At 38.9% G+C, this 15,657-nt stretch overlaps 2 annotated features.

The window, feature by feature from the left end:
* Positions 11,489 to 12,068: an enhancer, noted in NCBI's record as "NANOG-H3K27ac-H3K4me1 hESC enhancer chr1:163615487-163616066 (GRCh37/hg19 assembly coordinates)". NCBI's record gives its function as "activates a minimal SCP1, AML or CMV promoter by ChIP-STARR-seq in naive H9 embryonic stem cells {active_cell/tissue: H9 hESC(naive)}" and the evidence as "EXISTENCE:reporter gene assay evidence [ECO:0000049][PMID:30033119]".
* Positions 12,069 to 12,648: an enhancer, noted in NCBI's record as "NANOG-H3K27ac-H3K4me1 hESC enhancer chr1:163614907-163615486 (GRCh37/hg19 assembly coordinates)". NCBI's record gives its function as "activates a minimal SCP1, AML or CMV promoter by ChIP-STARR-seq in naive H9 embryonic stem cells {active_cell/tissue: H9 hESC(naive)}" and the evidence as "EXISTENCE:reporter gene assay evidence [ECO:0000049][PMID:30033119]".

Here is a 15,657-nt window from a genome sequence, read left to right as displayed (position 1 = left end):
GGAACAAAAAGAATTACAAAGCATAAATCTTTCAGCCAAAAAGAGGAACAGAAAAGATGCCAACTTGTATGGAGATGTGGAAGTGAGAAAACCTTTGATCAGTACTTCATTAGAGTATTCAAGAGGAAGAAACTTGGAAGCTGATGGAAAATCAAGCAGCCTAGCATAATCATAAGCTTTAAATGCTCTTTTCAAACGGTTTGTTTATTTATTGAATTTTTTTCAATTATTTTTTCAATTCAAATTTTTTTCAATTGTTTGTTAATTTCCGTTTTGATTCTAAGCCTATTGGTCAATCAGTGCTGAAAATAAAATGCGACCACGTGACCTGAGAGTACTCTGCCTTATAAGTGTATGGGTACTATATGACAAAGTCAGGCTTAATCGTGAGGGTGAAGGGATGAGAGAATTGTAGGTGAAGGGGAAGAACACAGGAGTTGAACACTGACAATGATATCAAATCACTACTCGGAAATTTTTTGCTGGAAGATAGTGAGAGTGATTATCCAAAACCCTGTGGATTAGGTGTTATACCAGCCTCTACCCTCTGGCCTTCAAGGGTTTCAATAACTTTTACTGTAATAGCCTGAGCTATCACTCCATTTCTGACAAAATTAAAGATTGCTTAGTCAAACCAACTCTAAGGAAAGATAAATTAAAGAAGACTCTAATTAATAGCATATTTGTGGAAAATAAAATTTTATTACACTTGAATGAATGCACTGTTAGGGTGATTTACCAACAGAATGTTGGGATGTTTTGTCTCTGAAAATACATTATTTCTTAAATTTTATAATTTATAGACAAGGTACAATCATAATTAAGTAGCACTATGAACTAAGCACTATGTCTTTCTTAATAATAAGAACTGGTCTCCTAAATAGGCTGTTAAAGCCCAGATAATCTTCTTCACATCTTCAATTTTGTAAAGTTACCCTGACAAAAAAAAAAAAAAAAAAAGCAAACCTCTACCAAGTTAGTATTCAGGATAATCCTACTTCTTAATTAGAATTCTTAGTATGGAAAAAAGTTTTTCTGTCCCAAGAGGATATTCTTAAACAACTAGTATTGGTGAGTTTGACCCACTTTCCATAAAATAGATTTTTCCTGATATTTATCTTCTTCCTCCCACTTTTCTAGTGGCTTTCCCCTCCCTTCGCCTTTTCATAGAACTTATTTTCTCAAGCTGTTCTCAGTTAGGCAGTGTCTGCAAAGAGCGCTGATGTTTTCACTCTGAAAAGTCTCCAGTGATTACACCCAGTCTCTTTCATGCTAGAACTACATATTTATCAACCCCAGAGAGCAAAGATGAGGCGGCACCAGGGTAGTGAGTGATGTGAACTGCTGTCACAGCAGAAATTGTGCTAGGGAGGCCTCTAAATAGGAAAAAAGAAAATAAAAATCTACCAGTTAGGGAGGGGCAGACAGCACAAAGAAAAACAAAAAAATGGATGAGCAAAAAAAAAAAAAAAGAAGGGGCAGGAAGAAAGCAGTGAGCAATCAGAGAGGGCTCAGTTGTGTGTACAGTTGCCAATCCCTGCTGGAAATGCCCTCCAGTGGCTAGAAGTGGGTCATAAGTGTAATGAGCCAGGCAGCCTGACATCTGGACTCTTTAGTCCAGCCTCAGGTTTCCACCTGGGTATGACAACTTGAGAGCTTCAGAGCTCAAAGGTAAGTGGAAGATTTTCTTTGCTTCTTGTCTCCTTCATCAGCCACGTTTTCCTATGTGGGGCAGGGCTCATACTTCTTGGCTACATAGATAAAACCAGGGGAAGCTACAATCCAGACTGGGACTCTCACCCCACTCAAGGCTGCACTGATTTAAGGGAAAAATTGCTCTAACCCCTTTCTAAGCACACAACTTACAAGTTTCTAATTAGCAACCACCCCAGGCCTTTTAATTTGTAGAGTTGCAAATAATGCTCATTTCTAATAATTTATTTCCTCCAACAGCAGCCAACATTTTTGCAAAGACTATTTGGCTTCAAGAAAACTGGACAAGAGTGATGCACTGTTCATCTAAACCATGGCCACTGCTTGTGAAACTTCCCAGAGCAGTTTCATCCTGGCAGTGGATGAATATGGTCATTATCAAACACACATATGGCAACCACATTTTCTGAACACCAAACAGACATATTGGTCTAACAATAGGACAAAATATTTGATATTGGAGAAATGGTACCCATGTTACTGATGCTTTTTACAATATTAACTAGTCCATCTTTACTATCTTCTCCATGTCTTTCTTAACAAATTCCGGATGGAGAATAACTTTCCTTGTATATATATAATTTTTCTTATCCTGAAGCTTTAACCCTTACTCCTCTACCATTACCCTTTGTCTCACTGCCTTACAGACACCACTGACCTCTGTGAAAGGTGAGTGTAAGAAAGTCTAAATGCTTCTTCGTCAATACTACACCATTGCTGCAAATATGACACCAAGTGGTACACAATCAAAACAGGAAAAGAGGGCAAGACACACACCAATTCCATCAAATTTGCTTCAGCTTCCTTAAAACATTAGATAACAAAACTCTGGATTAGAGGCTGGGCCCAAAGCTATATAAGCTTCCCTCAGTTTTCTGACATCTGAGAAACTATAAGAGAATATTTCTGCTTTCAAGAAATTTGTGCAAGGATCATAGATCACTCTATTAAAATAAATTATAAACTTGTTACAGTTTGACTTTGGCATTTCTGAAAATTTTGTTTCTTTCCAGCTGTCCCTATTTCCCACTGTGTCCTTTTCTTTCTCAGTAAATCTAGGGTGGAGTCTGAGAGTCTGCATTTCTAATGAGGCTCCAGGTATTTCAATGCTGCTTGTCATAAACCACACTTTGAGTAGCAAGAAACTAAACAGTCAAGATACAAGACAGGTTAAGTGTACAAGGATATGTACATTTTCATAATTTCCTGAAGAGTACCCTTTTAACAAGGACTGAAGAAATGGCTCTCTCATGACTGAGGAGTGGTGAGTGGATAAAATGTGAGATTTGGAGTCAGACAACATGAGTTCTCAAAGCAGGCTTTGGCATTTGCCAAGTGATCTTGAGTTACTAACTTAATATTTCTGATGCTCAATATTAATCTGTAAAGTTAGGAATTATAAAAATACCTACTTATTCTGCTGGCTGTGAAAATCAAAAGGGACAATCTATGATATAGACTTAAAGTAATACTCACTTGTTAACATAGGTGAATCAAATGCCTTAAGTAGGCCATTGCAGGAGGTGATTTTAGGCGAAAAGTGTTTCCCACGGCCCATCACATCATAGCAGCAGGCACTGTGCTTATTCTGCCACTTTAATGGGCAGTCCTAATTGACTACAAAGAAATCTGTAAAAACAAATATCGTGATTAGGACCTATTGATTTATGCAGGTGGCTTTATTTTAATCAATTATCCACTAGTTACGGAGTTATTTGATGTGTGTTTTTATCTTGTACATATGTTTCCTGAGTTGTCTCAGGCCCCATAGCTTCAGTAAAACTAAGATAAATAGCTGAGCATAAATTCTCAAGTCTGTTCATTGCTCCACGGTATCTATCTTTTTACTATTATGTTTGTTTAAAGGCAGGTTAGAAATGCTTACCTGTCCCAGAGGAAGAGTAATGTGCTTGGTGTTTAAAATACCCAGCTGGTTGGGATTGAGAGCGACTCATGATATTCTTTGCAGGACTTCCTAATTAAAGGAAGGCGGAAGCAACTTTGTCCCAGAATAATGAAAATCAAATGGATGCCATCCCGTTTACACCCTGGAATAACACAAGGAAGGGCCGACTTACAATGTCCAGAATGACCTTGAGGGGCCACCTTACCCTAATATTGGGCTCTCCCTGCTATGTCATAAACCTAAATTTTTATGAAATGAAAATGCTTCCAGAATGTGGTGTCCAGCTCTATGCAAAATGAAATCTAGGCATTCACAGTATGAGGAAACAGAATTGGCAGGTATTATAAGATTCAATCCATGAGGCAAGTGAATAGCAAGCAGCATGAGAAAAAGCAAAGATCTGGTATCAGAAGTTAATTAGAAGATGATGAGAGCAGAAGCTAGGAGGTCCCAAACACATATCTGACAAAACTATATCAAGGAGAAGTGCCTAGGAAAACCAGTGAGGTGACTGAAGATGGCAAAAAGCAGTCCTAAGCATTTGGCAATTCTGCTCGACTTCCCTCTAACTCAGGGATATTTGTATTAGGCTTAGCACACACCTACTGCTTTTGCTGCTGGCATTTTACGGGCACCATCCAACACCTAACTAAGTGATATATCCCCTTGCCAGGGACCCAAGTTCATCATGCACCTGTGTATTTCCTGTCCAATTGAAATTTTAAGCTATTGGAAAGTAGACTTAGATTTCTCTTTTTTAGAGATGAGGTCTCGCTCTGTTGCCCAGGCTGGGGTGTAATGGCAGAATCATGGCTCACTGCAGCCTCAACCTTCTGGACTCAAGCGATCCTCCTACATCAGCCTTACCAAGTAGCATTTTAAAACAACTTTTTGTAGAGACGAAGTCTCACTATACTGCCCAGGCTGGTCTTGAATTCCTGTCTTCAGTCCTCTTGGCTCAGCCCCTCAAAGTCAGACCTATATTTCTCTTCCACCCTTCAATTCTACGCACAAAGCAGAGATGCAATAAATTATGGGTGCATGAAAATTCTTGATAAATGCTGAATGCATTTGGAATGAGAGTTTCACTGATTTGGGGACCTGGTTGCATCCATCATGTTAAGCTTTTTTTGAATCTATTTAGAAACACAGGTCTTATTAGCAAAATAAATGGAGATATTGCTGCTACTGGATTCTTTGCCCCAAAAAGCAAATAATTTTCTGTAACTTTAGACAGTTTCTAAAACTGAACTCTTGGGCAGCTGAAGCACTAAGGTTTATATAGAAAATTGGTCATGCCAGAAAAGAATACATTCCTCTCTGCAGTAGAAATTCTCAATTTCTTGCTTCGGGTTGATCAGAGAATTTCTCAACTACAAACTTGTAATTAGAATTGAGTTTTTCTCTTGCCAATTCAGATTATGATAAACATCTACCATACCACTATGTCTTATTTGCTGACAGGAAGGGACTCAGCTAGTTGGTAATGTGAGAGATTCCTTTTTGGTATTTGGCACAACCTGATTTCATCTCTAGTTGTCTTTATCTATCCCTCCCCACTAGATTTTGGCTCTCCTAGATTCAAATGACATCTTTAAGGGGAGAAACAAAGAATTTGCAATTGTTTCCCAGCAATGTGCAAATTGACACTTAATTGAGAATTAATGGTGTGCTAACTGTTCACTGCAGCTATTCCCACTGCAAATTGCACTGGGACTGCTTGCACTTTTGACTTTGACATGCTTTTTATAGGGGTACATGAGTAATTTGATCTGTAAAAGAAAGAGAAGATTCCACCTCCTGAAGGAAAAGTACTAATTAGCAGCAAAATCTAACTGCTTTTCTCCGACGGGGTCTCTCTCTTGCTATGTTTGGCTTAATGCAAACTCCTGCCATGCTGAGTTTCTGCATTGGATTGTCCAATACATCCTGTTTAATTTTAATTTCCTTTAGCAGAGTTGATATTCAATTAGCCACACCAATGAAGGGATGCATTAGCACACATAATAATCTCTTAACTTTGCGTAGAGCATTAGCATTTACAAAGCACTTTCACATTTGCTCTTCATAACCTCTGTATTTAGCAACGAATATAAGTCCCATTTTACAGATGGAGAAACTTAAGTTCAAAGACATTAACGATATGTCTGAGGTCGCATAGTAAGCTACAGGGGATAGAGAACCCAGATTCCATAGTTTTTAATTTGTTGCTTTTTTTCTATTATGCCAAGAAATGGTATGATTAGGCTCATAGCAACACCCTCCTTACGCCTACATCCACATCATTCATTTATTCATTTATTTTTTCAACATAAAATTTGACTAAACAACACCATATAATACATCCTAAATATTCTTAGAGAATAAGAAAATGCAAGATGGGATTCTCAGCTTTCAAAAAATTCTTTAAAATATGGAAAATATACAAAAAATATAAATGGCGATGTTAGGCAAAAAATCCTTGAGGGTAGGAGCTATGTCTAATTCATCATTTTATCCTTTCACAGTTCCTAACGTAACACAGGGCCTAGCAGATAGTCGGTACTACATAAATATGTTTCAGAAAGAAATGAAGAGCCATGCCCTATCTCCTTGCATTTGCTATGTCCTTTTGTTTATTTTTACAGTAATTTTTTACTCTTAATATATCTTTTATTATTTGTTTATTCTCTGTGCCCTCCACTGGAATGTAGGCATCATGAGGATGGGATTTTTGTCAGTTTCATCCATGATATATGTCAAGCAAGGAAAACAGTGCCTGGCTTTTTTTCACTAGATGGCCCAAAGCAAAATGATATCATTTGAAAGCTGGCTTGGTTGGCCAGTAGAGCCAAAGATTGAATTTAGCATTTCTTATTTCCTTGGCTTTGAAAGCCATAATCTGACTTTGGAAGCCTCACTCCTCTGAGTGTCTAAAGAGAGAAGTGACCTCATTCATTAAGACAAAAACTTCTTTCTTGAGAGTTTGTTTTTTCCCCAAGCATGCTAGTACAATGTGGGGAAGAAACGACATTTATACAGAGAGCCACAATATTGTCCCTTTCCCCTTGGTGTGACTTCAGATGACCTCCTGCCTTAGATGGACCACTAAACTTAGAAAATATCAGAATAACTGTCTTCACATTCCAGAAATGGCTCCCTGTGGATTTAGACCCAGCTTCAGAAAGCAAATTTGCAGTCTAGTGGGTCCAAGAAATTCAGTGTCACACCAAAAAGCTTTCGACCCTGGACCATAGTCTGATCTGTGACAAAAATATCCTTCTCAAGATTCTTCCTACAGTGGGATTGAGGGATTGAGAAGAGGAGAAGAAGCCTTTGCCTCCTGCTGTGATGATGTGAGATCTCCAGCTGTGCCAATTCTCATTAGCACCCAGTGGGGTGGGTGTGGCGACAGGCACATGGAAGACTTGGCTTAGAGCCCAGCCTAAGAAGTCCCTTGAGATGGTCTTTAATAAAACTCCTGGGATGGGTTGGGAAAGTTAATTGCGATGTAAAATGTAGTGTGACTACTTCAAATCAGAAGCGGTTAGAGAGTGTTAAACATTATTTTTTCAAAATTCAATTGTTTTATCAAGAGGAGAATTTTCTGTTCATGGGGCTTTACTACAAGAAGTGTGGTTAGTATTATAGCATGAAATCATTGAGAGTAATTGAGACATTCACAGCATTGCTGTTTCACAGGACAGGGACATGTATCTTCTAGACTGTGCTGTCCCATTCAATAGCCACTGCTGTGATCTGAGTGATCGTGTCCCCACCTCAAATCCATATGTGGAAAACTACCCCCCAAGGGACCTGTATTAAGACTTGGGGACCCTTGGAGGTAATTAGGTCATGAAAGCACCAATCTCATGAATGGGATTAGTGTTCTTATATCCTAGCCACTAGACCACCAGGGAAGCTGACGATTAGTGTGCCCTCAAGCTTGAGGGAGGCTGTTTGTACCTCCACCATGTAAAAACGCAGAAAGAAGGTGCCATCTATGAAGCAGAGATGACTTCACCAGACACCAAATCTGCTGGTGCCTTGATCTGGGACTTCACACCCTCTAGAATTATAAGCAATAAATTTATGTTGTTCATTAAATTACCTAATCTGAGGTATTTTGTTATAGCAGCCTGAACAGTCTAAGACAGCTTCTAATCACATGTGACTATTTGAGCATTTGAAATGTGGCTTATGTGACTGAGGAACTAACTTTTTAATCTTATTTAATAAAAAGTAATTTATATTTAAAACGGATACTCAATTCAGTTGTTGGAAAAGTTTATAGCATAATTGGAACAACCTGGGTATGAAAATTATTTTTTCAACTGTAAATTTCACTAATTCTAAATATAAGCCAAGTATTTCTGATAAAAAGTTAGTGTCTGGATCAAATGTGCTATAAGTGTAAAATATACACAGTATTTGAAAGATAGTACAAAAAAAGTTAAACATATCACAAATGATTGTCTATATTGATTAAACATTGAAATACTATTCTGGATATATTGGGTTAAACAAAATATATTATTCAAAATAACTTCATCTGGTATTTTTAAATGTGGCTTCTGCAAATTTTGAAATTATAAATGTGGCTCACATATTTTCACAGGATAATTTTTTCTAGATAACTATGAGGTACTATTATGGGCTGACTTATGCTCCCTGCATTCATATGTTGAAGTCCTACCCACTAATACCTCACAAGGTGACTGTATTTGGAGATAGACCTTAAAGAAGTAACCTAATTACTTCTTTAGGTTAAATATAGAGTCTTTAAAAAAACTATGTTAAAATGAGGTTGTATAAGTGGGCTCCAAATCCACCACGACTGGTGTCCCTCCTTAAAAAAGAAGAAATTAGGTCACAGGCACACATGGAGGGAAGGCCATATGAAGACACATTGGGAAGACAACCATGTATAATCCAAGGAAAGAAGACTCAAAAGAAAGAACCCTACCAACACCTTGATCTTGGACCTCTAGCCTTCAGAGCTGTAAGAAAATAAATTTCTGATGTTTAAGCCAGGGGTCCCCAACCTTTTCAGCACCAGGGACTGGTTTTGTGGAAGACAATTTTTCCACAGACCAGAAAGGGGGACGGGGATGATTTGGGGATGATTCAAGCACATTACATTTATGGTGCACTTTATTTCTATTATTATTACAGAGTAATATATAATGAAATAATTTTACAACTCACCATAATGTAGAATCAGTAGGAGCCCTGAGCTTGTTTTCCTGCAACTGGACAGTCCCATCTAGGGGTGAAGGAAAACAGTGATAGATCATCAGGCATTAGGCTCTCATAAGGAGCACACAACCTGGATCCCACACATGCGCAGTTCACAAGAGGGATCACGTTCCTGTGAGAATCTAACACCACCACTGAGTCGACAGGAGGTGGAACTCAGGCAGTAATTTGAGCAATAGGGAGTGTCTGTAAATATAGATGAAGCTTTATTTACCCACCTCTCACCTCCTGCTGTGTGGCCTGGTTCCTAACGGGCCATGGACCGGTACCAGTCCCTGGTCTGGGGCTTAGGGATACCTAATTTAAGCCACCCAATCTGGGATACACGGTTATGGCAGCCCTAGCAACTAGCACCAAGCAAGTACCAGAATAATAGCTACTAACTTCATGTTACTTGTTCAATGTCTGTCTCTCCCATTATACCATAAGGTCTATGAAGGAAGGAATTGTACCTTTCTTAGGCACTCTGTATTCCCAGCACTTGGCATAGCTCCTGTTCTGTAGTAAATGTTCAATAAACATTTGATAACTGAGAAGGCAATTAGTTAACTCATTTAATCCATGTAAACAGCTAATTTGGTTGACTGGCGTAAAAAAAAAACCATCTGTTTTTCATTAGTATGGGTTTATAGTCTGAACTTTTTTCAGATAAATTGTTGTCATGCATTTGATCTGTGTTAACCCAAATATTGTATTTCAACCATTGGTATTGGTCAATTGTTTTTAAATCATCAGCTGTTATACCAGGGAAAACACTCTTTGAGCCTGTATATATATTCATAATTAGGCAACAGACTAGGCTTTTTTAAGGGAAAATAAAAACAATCTATCACATTCTTGATTTTCTCACTAATATTTATTACATGAGGACCCATAATTATGTATTGATTAACTGAATTAAGAAAAAAGTCTTAGAGCTGGAAGGGTCATTCAGAGTCCAGTCGTCCCTTCAACGCAGGGTAACTGTTGCAATTTTTTCTGGCTGCTATAACAAAATACCTTAGATTGATAAAAATGTATTTCTTACAATTCTAGAGGTGGCTGGGAAGTCCAAGACCCTCATGACTTAGTAATCTCTTAATGGCCCTACCTCTTAATACTGTCTGATTGGAGAATAAGTTCCAACATATTAACTTCAGGGGGACATGAATACTCAGATCATAGCAATAATCTACTTCAAAATCTCAGTGGGACACTCAGTTTTGATGGGCACTTTTCCCCTTCAATTTTCTCATGTTTGTACTTTAGAATTCTTTGTCTCCAATCCACTTGCCTCAGCAGCGTCATTGTTATATCAATATCGCCTCCTTTTTAGAAGCTATGTCCCTCTCTCAGTGTAGACTCCCTACCTGTCCAGGTGGAAGCACTGAAGAGCCATCTATTTTTGTCTGGCTTTAGCAGTAATAAGAAGTCAGCTTGGATTCTGAAATACCCAAAGAATTTGCATCTCTATGGTTACAGCATGGAGCTGTAAGCTTTCTATCTAAGCCCACTATATTCATATTTATTTCATTCCTTAAGTAAGTAGCTATTAAGCACAAACAATGTTTCTGGCTCTGGACATAGTTATTTTTTCTGTTTTCAAAGAGTTCACATTATATTGAAGGGTGCTAACAGTAGGTGTGGAGACAAGATGTGGTAAGATGTTTATGGACCAAATAATTCACAAATAAATATACAATATGAAACTGTAAAATGTTATATAAGCATAATTATTACAAGCAAAAATATAAAGGTAAAATAAGAAACATGGTTGAAGGAGAAATTACTAAGAAGAAAAAGTATATCAGTACATGTAATAAAGGAACCTGACCTAACCTGGGCTGTCAGGGAATGCTAAACTGAGACCTGAAGAATAAGTTTGAGCTAATTATGTGAAAGGGAGGAAGGAAACTAGAGATAGCATCATGTGTAAATAGCCTATGAAGGAAAGAAACATGGGGCATCTGAGTGTTATGAAATGAAGATGGATTAGTTGCTAGGGTTCAGGTTTTGGAGTTCCTGGTAAGTCAACTGGGGATTATCCTCTTTATCATAAGATGTAACATTTTACATAAGGTGTAATATGACCATACTTATGTTTTGTAAATGAACATTTTGGTTTTTGAATAGAAAACTAATATAAAAGATCAAAAATATATGAAGGACGCACATTATCTGTACAAGAAAAGCTACAAAACTCTAATGAAAGAAATCAGAGAAGTACTAAGTAAATGAACAGGTATTTCACTTATTTCATTTTATTTCATGGTTAAGAAGATTCAATATTGTCATCATGCCAGTACTTCCAAATATGATTTATAGATTCAATGCAACCCCAATCAAAATCCCAGAAAGTTATTTTGTGGGCAACAGCAAACCTACTTATTCTAAAGTTAATATGGAGAGGCAAAAGACCCAGAATAGCCAACACAATATTGAAGGAGAAGAACAAAGTTGAAGGACCTACATAAAGATAATCAACTGATCTTTGACAAGGAATTAAAGACAATGCAATGTAACAGAGATAGTCTTTTCAACAAATGGTTCTGGAACAATTGAACATCTACATGCAAAACAATAAATCTAGACACAGGCCTTACACTTTACATAAATTAACTCAAAATGGAAAATAAACCTAAGTGTAAAATTAAAAACCATATAAACTCCAAGAAGAAAACATTGGATAAAATCTAGATGATCTAGGGTTTGGCAATAACATTTTAGATACAACACCAAAGGCATGATACATAAAAGAAAAAATTGAGAAGGAGGATTTTATTAAAATTAAGAATTTCTTCTCTGTGAAACTTAAGATAAAAAGAGAAGCCTCAAACTGAGAAAGAATATTTTCAAAATACAAACCTGTTAAAAGACTGTTCTCCAAAATATACAAAGAATACTTAAAACTCAACAATAAGAAAAGAAAAATTCTGCTTAAAAAATCGGGAGGAGCCAAGATGGCCGAATAGGAACAGCTCCGGTCTACAGCTCCCAGCGTGAGCGACGCAGAAGACGGGTGATTTCTGCATTTCCATCTGAGGTACCGGGATCATCTCACTAGGGAGTGCCAGACAGTGGGCGCAGGCCAGTGGGTGCGCGCACTGTGCGCGAGCCAAAGCAGGGCGAGGCATTGCCTCACCTGGGAAGCGCAAGGGGTCAGGGAGTTCCCTTTCCCAGTCAAAGAAAGGGGTGACGGACACACCTGGAAAATCGGGTCACTCCCACCCGAATATTGCGCTTTTCAGACCGGCTTAAAAAACGGCGCACAACGAGACTATATCCCACACCTGGCTCGGAGGGTCCTACGCCCACGGAGTCTCGCTGATTGCTAGCACAGCAGTCTGAGATCAAACAGCAAGGCGGCAGCGAGGCTGGGGGAGGGGCGCCCGCCATTGCCCAGGCTTGCTTAGGTAAACAAAGCAGCCGGGAAGCTCGAACTGGGTGGAGCCCACCACAGCTCAAGGAGGCCTGCCTGCCTCTGTAGGCTCCACCTCTGGGGGCAGGGCACAGACAAACAAAAAGACAGCAGTAACCTCTGCAGACTTAAATGTCCCTGTCTGACAGCTTTGAAGAGAGCAGTGGTTCTCCCAGCACGCAGCTGGAGATCTGAGAATGGGCAGACTGCCTCCTCAAGTGGGTCCCTGATCCCTGACCCCCGAGCAGCCTAACTGGGAGGCACCCCCCAGCAGGGGCACACTGACACCTCACACGGCAGGGTATTCCAACAGACCTGCAGCTGAGGGTCCTGTCTGTTAGAAGGGAAACTAACAAACAGAAAGGACATACACACCGAAAACCCATCTGTACATCACCATCATCAAAGACCAAAAGTAGATAAAACCACAAAGATGGGGAAAAAACAGAACAGAAAAACTGGAAACTCTAAAACGCAGAGCGCCTCTCCTCCTCCAAAGGAACGCAGTTCCTCACCAGCAACGGAACAAAGCTGGATGGAGAATGATTTCGACGAGCTGAGAGAAGAAGGCTTCAGACGATCAAATTACTCTGAGCTATGGGAGGACATTCAAACCAAAGGCAAAGAAGTTGAAAACTTTGAAAAAATTTTAGAAGAATGTATAACTAGAATAACCAATACAGAGAAGTGCTTAAAGGAGCTGATGGAGCTGAAAACCAATGCTCGAGAACTACGTGAAGAATGCAGAAGCCTCAGGAGCCGATGCGATCAACTGGAAGAAAGGGTATCAGCAATGGAAGATGAAATGAATGAAATGAAGCTAGAAGGGAAGTTTAGAGAAAAAAGAAAAAAAAGAAATGAGCAAAGCCTCCAAGAAATATGGGACTACGTGAAAAGACCAAATCTACGTCTGACTGGTGTACCTGAAAGTGATGTGGAGAATGGAACCAAGTTGGAAAACACTCTGCAGGATATTATCCAGGAGAACTTCCCCAATCTAGCAAGGCAGGCCAACGTTCAGATTCAGGAAATACAGAGAACGCCACAAAGATACTCCTCAAGAAGAGCAACTCCAAGACACATAATTGTCGGATTCACCAAAGTTGAAATGAAGGAAAAAATGTTAAGGGCAGCCAGAGAGAAAGGTCGGGTTACCCACAAAGGGAAGCCCATCAGACTAACAGCTGATCTCTCGGCAGAAACCCTACAAGCCAGAAGAGAGTGGGGGCCAATATTCAACATTCTTAAAGAAACGAATTTTCAACCCAGAATTTCATATCCAGCCAAACTAAGCTTCATAAGTGAAGGAGAAATAAAATACTTTATAGACAAGCAAATGCTGAGAGATTTTGTCACCACCAGGCCTGCCCTAAAAGAGCTCCTGAAGGAAGCGCTAAACATGGAAAGGAACAACCAGTACCAGCCGCTGCAAAATCATGCCAAAATGTAAAGACCATCGAGACTAGGAAGAAACTGCATCAACTAACGAGCAAAATCACCAGCTAACATCATAATGACAGGATCAAATTCACACATAACAATATTAACTTTAAATGTAAATGGACTAAATTCTCCAATTAAAAGACACAGACTGGCAAATTGGATAAAGAGTCAAGACCCATCAGTGTGCTGTATTCAGGAAACCCATCTCACGTGCAGAGACACACATAGGCTCAAAATAAAAGGATGGAGGAAGATCTACCAAGCAAATGGAAAACAAAAAAAGGCAGGGGTTGCAATCCTAGTCTCTGATAAAACAGACTTTAAACCAACAAAGATCAAAAGAGACAAAGAAGGCCATTACATAATGGTAAAGGGATCAATTCAACAAGAGGAGCTAACTATCCTAAATATATATGCACCCAGTACAGGAGCACCCAGATTCATAAAGCAAGTCCTGAGTGACCTACAAAGAGACTTAGACTCCCACACATTAATAATGGGAGACTTTAACACCCCACTGTCAACATTAGACAGATCAACAAGACAGAAAGTCAACAAGGATACCCAGGAATTGAACTCAGCTCTGCACCAAGCGGACCTAATAGACATCTACAGAACTCTCCACCCCAAATCAACAGAATATACATTTTTTTCAGCACCACACCACACCTATTCCAAAATTGACCACATACTGGGAAGTAAAGCTCTCCTCAGCAAATGTAAAAGAACAGAAATTATAACAAACTATCTCTCAGACCACATTGCAATCAAACTAGAACTCAGGATTAAGAATCTCACTCAAAGCCGGTCAACTACATGGAAACTGAACAACCTGCTCCTGAATGACTACTGGGTACATAACAAAATGAAGGCAGAAATAAAGATGTTCTTTGAAACCAACGAGAACAAAGACACAACATACCAGAATCTCTGGGATGCATTCAAAGCAGTGTGTAGAGGGAAATTTATAGCACTAAATGCCCACAAGAGAAAGCAGGAAAGATCCAAAATTGACACCCTAACATCACAATTAAAAGAACTAGAAAAGCAAGAGCAAACACATTCAAAAGCTAGCAGAAGGCAAGAAATAACTAAAATCAGAGCAGAACTGAAGGAAATAGAGACACAAAAAACCCTTCAAAAAATCAATGAATCCAGGAGCTGGTTTTTTGAAAGGATCAACAAAATTAATAGACCGCTAGCAAGACTAATAAAGAAAAAAAGAGAGAAGAATCAAATAGACACAATAAAAAATGATAAAGGGGATATCACAACCGATCCCACAGAAATACAAACTACCATCAGAGAATACTACAAACACCTCTACGCAAATAAACTAGAAAATCTAGAAGAAATGGATACATTCCTCGACACATACACTCTCCCAAGACTAAACCAGGAAGAAGTTGAATCTCTGAATAGACCAATAACAGGCTCTGAAATTGTGGCAATAATCAATAGTTTACCAACCAAAAAGAGTCCAGGACCAGATGGATTCACAGCTGAATTCTACCAGAGGTACAAGGAGGAACTGGTACCATTCCTTCTGAAACTATTCCAATCAATAGAAAAAGAGGGAATCCTCCCTAACTCATTTTATGAGGCCAGCATCATCCTGATACCAAAGCCGGGCAGAGACACAACCAAAAAAGAGAATTTTAGACCAATATCCTTGATGAACATTGATGCAAAATCCTCAATAAAATACTGGCAAACCGAATCCAGCAGCACATCAAAAAGCTTATCCACCATGATCAAGTGGGCTTCATCCCTGGGATGCAAGGCTGGTTCAATATACGCAAATCAATAAATGTAATCCAGCATATAAACAGAGCCAAAGACAAAAACCACATGATTATCTCAATAGATGCAGAAAAAGCCTTTGCAAAATTCAACAACCCTTCATGCTAAAAACTCTCAATAAATTAGGTATTGATGGGATGTATTTCAAAGTAATAAG

Source organism: Homo sapiens, chromosome 1, assembly GCF_000001405.40.
Source record: "Homo sapiens chromosome 1, GRCh38.p14 Primary Assembly".
Classification (NCBI taxonomy): domain Eukaryota; kingdom Metazoa; phylum Chordata; class Mammalia; order Primates; family Hominidae; genus Homo; species Homo sapiens.
Note: the sequence above shows the minus strand (reverse complement) of the source record. Positions and strands in the feature narration are given on the sequence as shown.